The sequence below is a fragment of the Homo sapiens genome, chromosome 6, assembly GCF_000001405.40.
Source record: "Homo sapiens chromosome 6, GRCh38.p14 Primary Assembly".
Lineage (NCBI taxonomy): Eukaryota > Metazoa > Chordata > Mammalia > Primates > Hominidae > Homo > Homo sapiens.
The window spans coordinates 100,383,110-100,398,933 of NC_000006.12; the positions used below are offsets into that span (position 1 = coordinate 100,383,110).

General features: G+C 36.3%; 1 protein-coding gene and 1 long non-coding RNA gene across 3 annotated transcripts in view; one reads left to right on the plus strand and one right to left on the minus strand.

The window, feature by feature from the left end:
- SIM1 (SIM bHLH transcription factor 1) overlaps positions 1,900–15,824 on the minus strand; it is a 79,913-nt gene continuing 65,988 nt past the window's right edge. For both annotated transcript variants that reach the window (NM_005068.3, NM_001374769.1), the window contains exons 11-12: positions 10,378–10,780; positions 1,900–7,982 (exon numbers count right to left, since the gene is read on the minus strand). In NM_005068.3, coding sequence (NP_005059.2) covers positions 7,252–7,982; positions 10,378–10,780 — 1,134 coding nt within the window. In that variant the 3' untranslated portion in view covers positions 1,900–7,251. The remainder of the gene's footprint in view (positions 7,983–10,377; positions 10,781–15,824) is intronic.
- Positions 10,377–15,824, plus strand: part of SIM1-AS1 (SIM1 antisense RNA 1) — a 51,311-nt gene continuing 45,863 nt past the window's right edge. The window contains exon 1 of the long non-coding RNA NR_187148.1: positions 10,377–11,266. This is a non-coding gene — a long non-coding RNA (SIM1 antisense RNA 1). The remainder of the gene's footprint in view (positions 11,267–15,824) is intronic.

Here is a 15,824-nt window from a genome sequence, read left to right on the forward strand (position 1 = left end):
AGGAAAATTTTCCATGAAACAAAACAAAGCATTTAATGACTGTGATGAAAAAGTAAAACGTTTGTTTTGGCTCATGTCCTGAAAATGTTAGGTAAAACATGTATACAGTTGATAATTACTAGTGAAGCCATTTGCATTTTGTTAATTGAGAAAGCCTCAAAAAAAGTCAAATATTATGGGGAAACTTTTAGGATAACTTTCCTGTGAGCTTATTGTGCCCTAAACTTTTCTTGGTATCATGGTCATATAAAAGAAACATCAGAACCCTCATTCAGCAGGAAAGAAAAATGTATGTAAGGAGACATATCTATATATATGAAAGAAACAGCCTATATAAAGAAAGCAGAATGAAGTTAGGTAAAAGAAAACTTTATCTAACTTCATTCTGCTTTCTTTATATACATGCACACACACATATGCATATATACATACATACATATATATATGTATGTATATATGCATATATATACATGCATACATATATACATACATATATATATATGAAACATGTATTTTGTTAATTGAGAAAGGATGGCTGGGTGGGCCTGGAAGGCTGCCTCAGTTCCTAATACCCGTGGATTGAATGATTACCATGGCAACCAGAGACAGACTGATCCCAGCAGGCTGATTTATTATATGAAATATTATATTATATTACATATATAAAGAAAGCAGAATGAAGTTAGGTAAAGTTTTAGAGTAAATCGTCCTGAGTTCAAATTTCATCTCACCACTTACTAGCTTTGTGACTAAGTTACTCAAGTGAGACTTTGAGTCTTAGTTCCCTCATTAATCAAATGGAGCATATTGGTATCTTCCTCTGTGATGGTCTTTATTCAGACTTCTATGATGATCTGAGCTTGATTCAGTGCCTAGCACATGATAGTTCAATAAATGCTTGTTATTTTTATGATTATCTAAAGAATTTACACTTTCAAAGCACATAGAGAAAATCAAAGACCCCTTGTATGTACTTTCTTATTACACCCTGCAATGACAAAGATTCTTGGCGCCTATCCCATTTGGGACACATAATAGGTATTCAATAAAAGTTGTGGATTAAATTGGAAGTGCAGTTATTTTGGAGAATGAAATAGGTGAAAACAATTATATTTGCAGAAGCAAAAGCCCTAAAACAAGTATTTCAAAGAATCATATTGGAAAATATCTGATAAATGCTGTAACAATGATATATTGATATTTTGTTCAGCTTCATAAAAAATACAAACTATATTTCCATTGAATTAGACAGATATTGTGTAGTTCATTAAATTGGCCAATAGTTGACAATTTCTGAATACTTCAGGGCAAATCAGAAATTCCCAGAGGAGAAAAAGAAAAGCATGTTGGGCATTATGAAAATGCTTAAAAGAGAAAAAAACAGATTGCCAGGTAGAATAGATTGCTACCTGGCAATCTATTTTTGTTTGACCTTAATTCTTCATTCTGAATTTTTAAAATACTTTGGATTCCAAAACAAAAATTATTCAGAGAGTATTTTTAAATGAGAACAAGTTAAATAATCTCAATATTATAGGTTTTCTTTTCACTGAGGCATTAAAAATGTAATCTTTACTTTCAAATTTTCTGCTTTATTTAACAAAGAAGTCCTGCGTAAGTTGTCCTAATGAAACATTGAAAAACCATTCTCCAGTGTCTAATAAAAAACAGACCCATTATTTAATAGTTGCTGTACATATGTATATGCTTCCATTCCCAGGTCTCTTACAGTATGTGTGTGTGCATATTTGTGTGTGTGTGTGTGTGTGTGTGTGTGTTTAGTGCTACCCATTCCAATAGAATCTAGAGCTAAAATGGTTCCTGTTTCTTTATAGCACTCTTTTAGTTGACAGTCTTTTTTGTCCTATAGAGATTTTTCTTTCAATGAATAACCCAGACTCAAAGTGCATATTGGTAACTATATTTTAAACCAAAAAATTCCTCACATAATAAATACATTTTATGCACATTAACTTCGAATTTACTTCAGAAAGCTATTTACAATATAAATAATTATAAATGGGAACACTTTGCAAGATATCATTGACATAGCTAATATTTTCTACTTTACATTCCAAAGTAAAATTTCAAATTACAGCTTTATACTACAATGTCACTAAAAACTATACATTGCAAGACGGTATTTGAAATATTGGCGATCAGTATCTTTTCTCACAAATATAATCCTTTTTATAGCACATTAGTCAAAAAACAAATGTAAAATATTTTATCTTTTTTGAAGTGTCTACTCATAATGTTTCCTTTTTTGAAATATTTCCCTTCGGAAAAAAAAAGAAAAAAGACTTACAGTACTTCCAAAATTTTTTTCCAGGCCAATTTCATTTCTTTTGAAATGTAAACACATCAGGGTTACCGGGTGTAAGTTTAACAGTGATTACATGTGTCCCAGGTCAGCAAATTAGGGCAAATTAACCCCAACCCCATATAGATTTATGAAAGCAAAGTCCCATGCAGCAAAGTTGCAATAAACAAAACTACAAATGTTTGGTTTAAAATTAGCAATTAGGATTTCTTATGTGAACCATCATTTATTTATTTATGTGTGTGTGTGTGTGTGTGTGTGTGTGTGTGTGTGTGTGTTATAATTGGATATGGCACATTTTCATGAATATGATATAAAAATCATATTTTTCTGTGTGCGTATGTGTGTGTGTATGCTTTCTGCATACAGTCCTAGAGAAGGAACTCTGAGCAAACCCCTATTTGGCAATGACCACACTCTCACTTTTTGAGTTAAGCACTATCTGTACAACCCTTACAAGAAATTAGCACCACACAGAAATTTCCCCCAACAATATTTTCTATGTCTGATACCTTTTGCATGTGTCCATAACTGTTGTCATTCATTTAAAATTTAGATGATAACGAATGTTTTATCCACAATTAGTTCCACAGTAAGAACTAGTTCAGTAGATTTTTCTGTCTTAGACATAAATCCCTATTCACAAAAACTTGACATTTACATAAACGTTGAATCATTTATTTGGAGGACCATAGGATTTACATTCTTTTTAAAATCATTATGAAAACAGGATGTATGTCAACATCTATGATTTGAGTGAACTAGGGAACCAAATCTGGGCATTCAAACATTTTATATCAGAAAGACTGTGTTTGATTGTATTAAAGTGTAAGCTATTCCACTAGGCCAGGTGAGTGACCCCAAAATGGTCAAATGCTCAATTTTCCAAATATCAGCATTCACTCTGTCACTTCTAAATACTACTAGGACTGATAGATTGCACTGAATATCTTAGTAATATCCTACTCTTGAAAGAGAGAGCTATAAAAATCAAATGTGTATTCAGAAGATTTCTTTATCTGTGCTGCCATCCATCAAACTTACTTGGTTTAGATCTTGAGGGCGGAAATCTTGTATTTCATTTTAAAATATATATGCATATTTTCCAAATGGTCTTGTACTATAATTGATCCTCATCCCCCATAAGAAGGAGAAATAAAAATTGGAGCACACTACCCTTTTCTAGAAGATCCCCTAAAGCTTATTTTAAGTGGGATTCTCTGCCCAGAGGCAGCATGTGACAACACGGTATAGAGTGAATTAAGAATAGTGCCCGATGGAAACAATCTAGCCCTATGAAATATAACCAAGAAAGAGCAAGTGGTTTTTCTGTGTAAATACTGAAGGCAATCATTTATTGCATCCCGTCTCATTTTGAATGTCACCTCAGCACTGTCATATTATCTTTTATCAGGCAATTACAGTTTAGGTAAGCGAGCACAATATGACAAAAGACTTGTGGACCGAAGCACACCTAAATATCTGACCTGTAGTGATTGTGACATTAATATTACACATCCCAAAATAACACATCAAATCTATATATTCCCAATAACAATTTAAACAGAATTTTCCCAAGAAAGATTGGGGAAACTTCATTCACTTCTTTGGTCATCCAAATTTTTAAAGTAGGTATGGCAGGTGAAATGGGCAATAAAGATACTTATTATCACTAGAAACCAGAATTCTACAAAACCATGAGCTATGTATCATCTAATGAATTGATACATATTATACCAGTAATTGGATAGAGCACATTTTTATGTATCCCCAAGGTGATATGAAAATCATACTTCTGTATCTATTTCAATCAAGTTTCATGTTTCTCAACATTTGGCAAAGTTATGGAAATCAAGAATTAAAACTAAAGCCATATTAAGTTTAACTGATTAAATTATCGGGAACGTAGTTATTTTATATACTATTTTTAAAAGACACAGATGACATCTTCATTATGAGGAAATATGTTGCTGCACAGAACAAAATAATGTAGATTATAAACACATTTTAACACATTCACATGTATATTAAGAAAGTACATTGTCATCAAATGTCTTAACTTACCTTGGGTCATTTTGTGATAATCATGCCATATTGCAAAAAATGTAAGCTATACAATATAGTGAGTCAATATGACATTTTATGTAATGTAATAAAACTGCTACTATAAAATTATTGACATTCAGTAAATTTTAAAATGGTTATGTACTTAAAACTGGGTCAATCTACCAAAATTTTGAATCAATATATAATTTAGTTAATTCTGTATTCTCTTAAAAATATTGGTCATGTCATTTTAAAGAGCATTATTCCTTCTGATTACTCTCATCTGTGAAATTCATAATTTCTTCTTCTCACCAGTTAACTATCTTCCATATAAAAATTCCACTGAAATTCCTTTAGTGACAGCCTTTTCTTTAATATCAGTTCATTTTCCCTGGTTCTTAAGTTTCCATTTCTTTTAGCTTCTGTCCCTGGCACATTTGGTAGAATATATAGCCACCAGAAATACCCATCTGTGAAAATTACCTTTCCAAAATACACCATATTCATCAAATATTTTTTCTTCCAAACATCTATCAATCTACAGAATTCTACAAAACCTTTAGCATTCTTAAGACATTACTTCATGTTGCAAATTGATCAAAACTCCATTTTATGTATTCCAGGATTTCTCATAAATAATTTTCTCAAAATTACTAAATACTCTTTTTTGTATAATTCAAAACTTAGTTTTTATTGTATGGTCACCCCTTGGTATAAACAGGGAGTTGGTTCCAGGATTACCCCCATATAATCAAATTCTCACATACTCAAGTCCTGCCTGTTGGCCCTGTGGCGCTCACTTATACAAAACATCGCCCTCTGTATACTCAGGTTTCACATTTCTCCAAATACTGGGTTTTTTATCTGCATTTGATTGGAAAAAAAACCACACATAAGTGAATCTGCACAGTTCAAACCCATGTTATTCAAGGGTCAACTGCACTTTGAATTTTTTGAAAATATATATAACCACTAACTTTCTCACTTACTTGCACTTTTTTGCATTTACAGCACAAATGTTAACATTATTTAATTTTATGTAGCCTCTCCTTTCATATACAAACAACCCAGTACTCATCTTTCATATTATCGTTCAGATTGTCACCTACCTATGGACTGTGAAATAACTGTGTTAAATGATGAAAATATACTACTAATCCCTGAGTATTCAATTTCATGTTCTGTTTCCAAAATTGTAAGTCAAGTTCTGCCAGTACATTCCCTTCCTTAAATATGGCAAGAGTTTTGGGCACGGGACTCCTAGGAAATATTATCTATGAAATCTCTCTAATCACTTATATCATTTTGCTTTAATTACTAGAGAATAGAGCATTAAATAAATCTTGCTATTTTTCTTCTCTGTCATAAATTTCTACCAACTACATTTTGGCTAAATCTAGAAAGTTAACTGTAACCTGCCTAAAGGAGCCCACACACCTGCTTAAGTCACAAAGCATCTAAACTTCTGTGTACAGAAAAAACAGAATGATCAGTCTTGACAACTCATAGCAGAGAGTTAATTAGGTAATAAGTTCAGTTCTGCTCTATCACAGAACATGAACGCTGGGGCTGCCTTACAAACCAGGAAACTAGAGCCCAGGCACGGTGAATGGTACAACTGTGGTCACAAAATTAAGTTACAGGTAGGGCCAAAATTAGAATCCAGAGATCTAGTCAGCTGGCCTTTCTACTATACCACACAGATGTAAGACCAAGTTTGTTGTTTACAAACAATAAGGAAAATAAACATTTTGCCTATTCCTTCAGAGTACTGCTCTTAGCTCTTAACTACTTGTCTATCAGCCTAAGCTTTTATCTTAGACTCTCTCCTGAGGCTTTCCACATGTTGTCACATTGGCACATATGTGCTTTGAAACGTTTTCAAACACTTAACACTGCTGTCATGTGGCACTTCACTGGTTTTCCTTTTATTTTTGCACCTATTGGTCTTTTTTCTGGGTGAATTGGTTTGAATTTTTTATTTAGTTGGTTTTACAAGCAAACCCCAAATATGTTGTTTACTTATGCTGAGCCCTTAAATTGTGTTAAACTTTGAGATAGCATTTTATTTCACTCTGCCTCTGGCCTTTCCATATTCATAGAACTACTTCCAATTGAGCACTCCAGGTTTTTGATGTGTGTCCCAATATCTCAGTGTTCTTACTTAGAAAAACCCTCAGCGCCATGTCAGTGCAATCCTGGTCCTTGTCTAACTGAAAAGCAAGGTGAAAAATTACCTCTTCCTGATTGTTTATAATGGATACCAGGTGAAAACTCATTTTTGCACCATATCCAGAACCATTTCTCTAATTTATGCCTGAACCAAATGAGCTGGCTGATTTGAAACCACAAAGAAGTCAGTTTATAAGATGTATCTCTCTCTTTCTCAGTTATTTTGGGAATGGAAATTTCGTTAAGAAGTTTAGTGTGACAGAGTCAAAGAAAATTACCCATTTTTGATGTATTTACATTACATAGCCTATATTTCCATATGTAAAATGTATACCGCAGTTTGTAAGTAATAGTTTGTGTGTTTGAGGATCACTGGATAGTCACAATGCAATGTTGTCATTCATCAGTCCTCTCATGTAGTATATATGCACACTTGATCTACATGAATATTTTTCAAGTCAAAATTTATCTATTCTGGTTCCCATATAATTAGAGGGGAAATTTGTGTATTCAATTTAGCTCCCTTTTCTGTGTATAACCCTGAATGCTAGTGCTATGTTTTCTTTGATTTTATAGGAACACGTATCAAATACCCAGTAACTTAAGTTATACTCTCTAACAATCTGTGGCATAGTAAATGCTGGTAATGGGGTATTAAACTATAAATATGTTTCAGAGATCCTTAAAGAACAAAATATTTCAGCAAAACATCAGCTTCCGTTGGTTATTATAACAGATGTTCCCTTGTGTCCTTGTGCTGGGTCTGGTTGCATCCTCAGATGGGAAGTTACATCAAAGTGTGAGCCATTACAGCCCAAGGAATAGTTTCTAATGGTTTCGCTGTCATATAAGTGCTCCAGGGCATATCCAGTTAATGTGTAAGCATGCTTGTCAAAATACTGCCGGTGAGAGCCAAAGCAGTTTGGAGAGACAGTAGGGTGGTCTCCTGCTGTCTGATGAGGAGATATATCCGAATGCAGATAGTCTTTAGCTAGGATCAAACTGGATTTTGAAATGCGATCCGAATTGGGACTACTTATCCGAGATAGTGCGGTGGGACTGTTGTCATAGTCATTTTCATGGGGGCTCAACATTTTTCCCTCTCTCTGCTGGATATGGTCACATGGTGAAGTGTTGGCAAGAGCAGAGCCATGGCAGACTTCACCTGTTGGTGGGGGCTGTTGGTAGTTTGCAAAACACAGGGAGTGTTTTTTCCCAGCCCCATTAATGGAAGCCAGTTGGTCTGAGGGGGCTTTCCTTAGCTGTAATCTGTTCTCTTCTTCTTTAATCATTTGCTGAGTGGCTCTTATAAGAGTTTCAATTTTGCTGGGTTCATGTGGGCTACTTTGATACTGCTCAGTACGATATCGGTCACCTGATTCACTGGCCGACCCAGGGTCTGGAGAACTGACCACACTATCTTCATCCCAATGACCTCGCCCTAAAAATTAGAAAAAGTCAAAAGTAAGTGATCTCAGAATTCACCCTCAAAATAAGTATATTTCCTTTACCTATTAAAATAAACTTTATATCTTTCATTTTTAATATATGCACCAATATTTGAAACAGGCTCACATGATGTGAGCACATGAGTGACACATGACACTCTATGTGTCAACTCTCTGTACTGGATTCATATAAAATCAGTGAATTTTAAATGCAGACCAAGTTTATAACAAGTTTCTTAGAAGATAAACCTTGTTCATTGTGAATGACAATTAGCAAAATGGTAAAGTGTGTTTATACTTCTCCATGGATATATGTTATTAGACCTGTCTGACTGGAAATAAGAGAAGGATGCATAGAATTTGGTTTATGTTATTCTGTAGAGCAGTGCCATGTTAAATTGATGCTTGAAAAATGTTTTTGATTGGATTTGAGGGAAATGATGATACAGGCTGAACTATTCTCTCACTTCCAAATAAATAACCTAAAATGTTAGTATTGCTAAATATATCTTAAGTAGAGTTAAAATAAAGCTCTAATATATCTTAAGTACGGTTACAATAAAGCTCTAATGTTCATTTTTAGAGTATTTGAAGGTTAAAAATATACATCTATTCACATAGATATATATGTAAGCATGGATGGATATAACTGAAGATTATAGATATAGATACAATCTTGTCCAAATAAAAACATAAATATTATCAAATTTAGGGGTAAACATCTCAGCTTTACAGGTAATCATATAGTAACTCAGTTACCTTAGATTGTTTTTGAAGTAAGGTAAAGAATAAGGCCGGGCATGGTGGCTCACACCTGTAATCCCAGCACTTTGGGAGGCCCAGGTGGATGGATTACCTGAGGTCAGGAGTTCAGTACCAGCCTGGCCAACATTGTGAAGCCCCGTCTCTACTAAAAAATACAAAAATTAGCTGGGCGTGGTGGCAGGCCCCTATAATCCCAGTTACTTGGGAGGCTGAGACAGGAGAATTGCTTGAACCCGGGAGGCAGAGGTTGCAGTGAGCCGAGATCGCGCCATTGCACTCCAGCCTAGGCGACAAGAGCGAAACTCTGTCTCAAAAAAAATTTTTTTAGACAATATTTATAATTTTAATAACAACCTGTTTGGAGCCAAGGAAAGAGATAAAATATGGAGGAGTAGTGCATCCAAAGTATATTCCATAAATCAAATTATTCTCAAAACAGTCTGAAGTCAATATAAAAAGAGAGAAGAGAAACAAGTAGGAATATATGAAAGCTGTAAACTGCTTAATGCAGCAGAGAAAGCCTGGATCACACTATTCGTTGCTTTCCTTTTATCTTTTCTTCTTGTTTTATTTCTAATATTTTCTTCCAGATCCTGTAGGTTAAGCCAGGATTTTCACTTAACTCTATTCTTTGGCAAGTGATTGCCCTTTGCTCTGGGTTTCCATTACCAGTCTACCAAACTAGAGATACTCAAAGTAAAATCAGAAAAATAGAAAGCAAGAATAGAAACAGATTAAAATTACTCAGCTTCTGAGTGGTATCTGACAGGAAGGTTTATTAATGGAAACAATATTGTCTAGCACATGTCTCATTCTAAAGACAAGAGTAGTAGTATTGGGGCCTTCAGATCAATCCTAATGTCACTGACTTTTAATGAAATAGGGAGGATTCCAAAGACCGGTCTGGACCCAAGCTTGGGATGGACGGAATGAGCTCTCCTTAACCAGTTTACTTTGAAATGAACAAAGGGAAGCATTAGCAACAATCAAAGCTTTAGCTATGGTGTCCATTTCGACGTGTTTATAAAGCCATGTAATTATCCCAAGGTGAAAATCCCAGTGCATTCTACATATTGCTTCATCCTTCACTCACGGGGTCATCATTGTGGGTTGTCATAATGATGGGGGAAAGGGGAAGTTACTGGCATTTAATGCCCAGAAAGGTTAAACATTTGAGATATGTGTGACTGTCCATAAAACAAAGACTGGCCCTCTCCAACATATCAATAGTGCCCTCATTGAGAAACACTGCTATGACCAAATGAGCCTACCGACTATTCAAGTCCACATTTGAAGCACGAAAATACAAAAGAAAATAATGTATGAGGAATGTAAATGCGTACACACTACAAATTCAATAGACATATTCAATAATAAACTATGTAATTTCTATACTTTCTGATGTTTAATATAGGAATCATTTTTATTCACTTGTCAAAACTAAATGTATTTAGCAAATACAAGCAAAATTAATAACTGAGTGAACTTTGTTTTTAATCCCATTGGTTCTGATTTGTAAATCAAAGAAGATAACTATTTGGTCATTCACTCTAGTGTCACAATGTGATGAACCTGCCCAGGGCCTAATGCTTGGAGTTCGGGAACCCTTTCACCTGCTCTTACCATGGATCCTGTGGACTGAAGCGATGTGAGGCATGCTGTTTTCATAGGCTTCTCTGCTTTCTGGGGAGGCCTTTGTCAGGGGCAAGGCTGCGCGAGAGCCCCACCAGGGCTCCCTCCCGGCCTGCGGCGTTCCCAGGAAGTACCTGCCTGCCTCACATCGGCCTCCTTCACAGGCCTGGGTATGGAAATGCCTCTCTTCCACCAGCCTCGAGTGGTCAAGCGCAAAGCCATAGCAGAGAGAGCTGCGGTCCGAAAACTGTCTGTAGGCGCACGATGCGTCGTGCTGGGAGCCAGGCCTATCGGCGGGGTCCAGAAGCTGCGGAGAGGCCGTGTCGGTCAAGGGACTTCCGCCCCACTGGCTGTCATGATCAGATTCCGATCTTTCTGTGTGAAATCCCGAATACTGAAACCGAGTAGGGGAGAAAAGTCCATTTCAAAAATCAATCGATCAGTAAGAGAAAACAAACAAACAAAAAACAGCCTTTATTTACTCTACAAGCACCCTTAAGGTCTCATTGTCCTGAGGTCGTCAAAATAACCGTTGCTTTGGCATCATGGCTGTGCACACCTAACTTGGAATTACTTAATTCATTATGATGCTTCCAAAGAAAATCCTTTTGGTTGATGAAAGCAGGAGATAAAGATAATAATGGCAACCATCGACTGAAGTACTAGGCACTGAATGAAGTGCCTCATATGAACTATCCACTTAGCTCCTGCAGTAAACCCTTAATGGCGCTATTAGTATCCCCAGTTTAGGGATAGAGAAGCTAACGCTCAGAGAGAGAAAGTGATTTGCCCAAAGCCACAGTGTTAGCAGGTGACACAACCAAGATTCAGACCCAGGTTCTTCGTCTACCCTAACAGTATTGCCAAAGAGAGATTCCAAGTAAGTTCCATATTTTATTTCTATTTGCTTTCCACGTATTTTTTGGTTTTGACAGGGTCTGGCCCTGTCCCCCAGGCTGGAGTGCAGTGGCGTGATCATGGCTCACTGCAGCCTCCACCTCCTGGGCTCAAGCAATCCTCCCATCTCAGCCTCCTGAGTAGGTGAGATCACAGGTGTGCAACAATACACAGCTAATTTTTAAATTCTTTGGTAGAGACAGGGTCTTACTTTGTTGTCCAAGCTGGTCTTGAACTCTGGAGTTCAAGCAATTCTCCCGCCTCAGCCTTTCAAAGTGCTGAGATTACAGGTATGAGCCACAACACCTAGCCTACATTTTTTCTTAATTAAAACAAACAAAAACCTAAGGTTTAAGGCTCCAATCTCCTGAAACTTAATCTTCATTAAGTTAACTCTGTTAACTCTCTGAGGGCCATGCTGGATAGATGGCAGAATAGTTAATAAACGCTTACCTAATTCAACTGCAATGTAACTCTTAAGAAGTCTTATCCTATATAAGAGTTGGGCCTCTTCACTAGGATGTGCCTCTTGTTTAGAAGATAAAACTTGAAATATGCATAGGGTCACCAGAAAATAACAAGCCACAGGCATTGCTGTGCCTTGTTGGAATTAAATGGCTTATCTACTCCCAGACTATTTGGTCAGATTTTGAAAGAGAACATAAAATGCTTGATAGATCTCCCTAGGAAGTGTGCTCAGTTTGAAGGCCCTCACAAGCCACTAAAATCAGTAATATAACAATAATTTTTACCAGTTTTTGGTTGCCTAATGCCAAACAATTCTAGGTATTGTAAAGAGATTACCTACTATGATAATGATGGGTGCCATTTATTGAGAGCTTACTATGTGTCTGGCAATATTCCATATACATTCCATATACATTTTGTCATTTAATCATTCCATATACATTTTGTCGTTTAATCCTCACAACCACCTGAACATAATATAGCTCCATTTAATACAGGAAGAAAGGACATTACTACAAGTTTTAATAAGATGACACAGCCACCTCACAGTCTATCTGGTCTCAAAGCCTGCACTTGAAACCATGATTTTACATTTCAGATAAAACAGTGCTAACGAAAAAAGGAGAGAAAAAAAGATCCAATATTAGGGAGATTTGCAGTGAAGGGGCAGGAACTGTTTCACAGTCCCAGGAACCAAAATACAAGTCCATTTTAGACTTTTATTTCTTACCCCAGAATAAACAGGGGTGGGCACATGTGGTGTTGTGGAGGGAAGAAGAAAAATTCCTAGGCTCCACTGCTGTTCCCTTGTCGCCCATGATGAGAACTTCATAGGACAAAACAAACTTTCCCCTCACCACTAGGCCCACCCTGTGGGAGTAAGAATCCTGGGTCTTCCCATTTCAGTAAAAAGAGGCAACTCAGCTGAGGGCTGTTGGGGACAGAGAGATGAACTACACAGGTTCCTCTGGGGAACCTCCAAAGTATGCCAATATAGCATGCTCAGAACAGAGTCCTGTGCAAATTCCAGGTCAAAATTTTTCCTTTGCCATTTCTAATTATTACTTTAATTATTTTCCACCTACACATATGGACTATCAGCATATTCCATCAAGAAAAAAAATTAGAAAATCCACCTTATCTCCCTGCAGGGTTGTAGAATAGGAGACATCAAGGCATCCTGGGGCTCGGTACCTACATCATGCCTTCCGCATGCCATCATCCTCTTCTTCCAGTGAACCCAGACTCTCTTTTCACAAGATATCGCCTTCACTTTCACCAAAGCAGGGCTGGCGCTTCCTCACCTTACTGAGTGGGGATCCAAGTGCTATACATGTGTTCCTTGAGAGTACCATCCATGTGCTTGCCTCAGAGAAACTCAGACCATCAGTGTTATTCCAAGCTAGGAGTTGCCCAGATTCTGCTTGTTTTTATAAAAGTATAAACCAGGTCTATTTCTGAGGTACTCCAGTCAAGACTTTTGAGCCCTGTTAAGAGGGGGAAAAGCTTTCCCTGAGTGTGTATGGGAAAGTGCTATTGGCGCAACAGAGAAGAACATTCTGTCCTTCAATCACAATGAAAATTCAACAAGAGACAACCTGGGCATACAGGAGGTATACATTTCAAGAGCACCCAAAGAAGAATTTGAAGGATAAGCCTCTTGTCAATAGGCAGGAAACTACAAGAATACCAAGCGCATTGCCCTGAGATATTCAAGCAGGCAGAAGTTGGGTGGTTCAGTTAGTCCAAGACCTCACACTGCTTAGGAGATACAGAGGAAAAGCCTCACAGTAAACCTTTGTTTTCAAGACCTATAAATTTGCACCAGTGGGCACCATCAAAACTCTGAGCCACGTTCATCCCTTTAAAATGAACTGCACTTGATGTAAACTCTGTTGAGGACACTACAGCCGCATTACTTGATCCAAAATATTTCAGGTATTCATTAAATATTTGAGGAAAGAGAGAAGGCAGAAAGAGAGGAAGGCAGCCAGCCAATATATGTAGTGTGTGCGGTGCAATGAATGAATGCTGCATAAAAATGCAGTAGTGGGTTAGATTAGACTTTATCTAACTTGTCTTTCAGCTCTAATACTCTGTATAATATAATAACTATTTGGTATCCTTTTTAGTTTTGAAATGTTTGATTCCTGTGCCTGTCCCTACATCTCAGTTATTGGAAGAAAATAATTATTGAGAACAATAATCCAAGTCTACAAATTTTTATTGTCATAACTATAAAAAGAAAGTTATTGTGTAAATTATAATTTTACTATAAGGCCAATTTTCCCTCCAAGTATCCCGTTATGACACAATTTCATTAGGAATTACATGCTGCCTTTTGGTCAATGAATTATTATATTCTAGAGGCTTCTGAGTTTGAAGGATAATGGCAACCACTGTAATCTGGATCTGTCCACATATTCTGCCCTTAAGACCTATAAGGTCATTAAGAAGCACAAATTAAGTCACACATGACCCATACTATCAGCATTACTTGGAGGCGGAAAATGTGACAAACTTCAAATATGCTCAACTGATTTTTGACAATTCAGTGAAGGAAACATAAACTTCTCAACAAATGGTGCTAGAGTAATTGGACACTCATAGGCAAAAAATCAAATAAATCTCAACCTGAGTGTCACAGCTTATATAAAAAAAACTCAAAAGGTTCACAGACTTAAATGCAAAACCTAAGATTATAAAGCTTTTAGAAAATAACATAGAAGAAAATCTTCAAGATCTAGGACTAGGTAAGGAGTTTTTAGACTTGACAACAAAAACACAATCCATAAAAGAAAAAAAAAGATAAATTGAACTAGATCAAAATTAAAAACTTTTGCTCCAAAAAAGACCCCGTGAAGAGGATGAAAAGACAAGCTACAGGAAGGGATAAAGCATTTACAAATTACATATCCAACAAAAGACTAGCCTCTAGAATATATACAGAACTCCCAAAAATCAACAACAAGAACAACAAAAAAGGGTGAAAGATATGAAGTGGCACTTCACTGGGCAGGATATACAGATGGCAAATAATCATATGAAAAGATGTTCAACATCATTAGTGACTAGGAAGATGCAAATTAAAACCACAATGAAATATCACGATACACCTATCAGGCTGGCTAAAATAAAAAATAATGACAACACCAATTGCTGGCAAAGATGTAGGAAAACTGGATCACTCATACAATGCTGATGGGAATATAAAATGGTGTACCTAGTCTAGAAAACAGTTTGGCAGCTTCTTAAAAACTAAATGTGCAATTACTATATGTAATCCTGGAAATTTATCCCAGAGGAATAAAAACTATATTCATATAAAACTTGCACACAAATATTTATAGCAGCTACCTCCCTCCACTTCCAAGTCCTCTTTAATTGTTTCCTTTCTTTTTCAATGTGGAAAAATACAAGTAACATAAAATTTACTATTATCCAGTTTTAAGTATACAGTTCAGTGGCATTAAGTACATTCATGGTGCCATGCAACCATCACTACCATTCATTTCCAGAACTCTTCATTTTACAAAACTGAACTCTGTACCCATTAAACAATAACTCCCCATTCCGTCTTCCCTTCAGTTCCTTAACAACCACCATTCTAATTTCTGTCTCTATTACTTTGACTATTTTAGGTACCTCACATAAGTAAATTCATAGAGTATTTGTCTCTTCGTGACTGGTTTGTTTCACTTAGCATTATGTTCTGAAGTTTCTTCCATGTTTAAACAGATGTCAAAATTTCCATCCTTTTTAAAACTGGAGAGTATTCTATTGTATATACCATGATTTGTTTATCCATTCACCCATTGATGACACTTGGGTTGCTTCTACCTTTTGACTATGAAGCTACGATGAACATGGGTGTACAAATATGTCTTTGAGACTCTGTTTTTAATCCTTTAGGGTATATTACCAGAAATGGGATTGCTGCATCATATGATAATTCTATTTTGAATTCTTTGAGGACCTGCCGTGCTGTTTTTCATAGAAGCTGCACCATTTTACATTCCCATTAATAGTACAACGGGTTCAAATGTATCTACATCCTCACCAACACTTGTTAT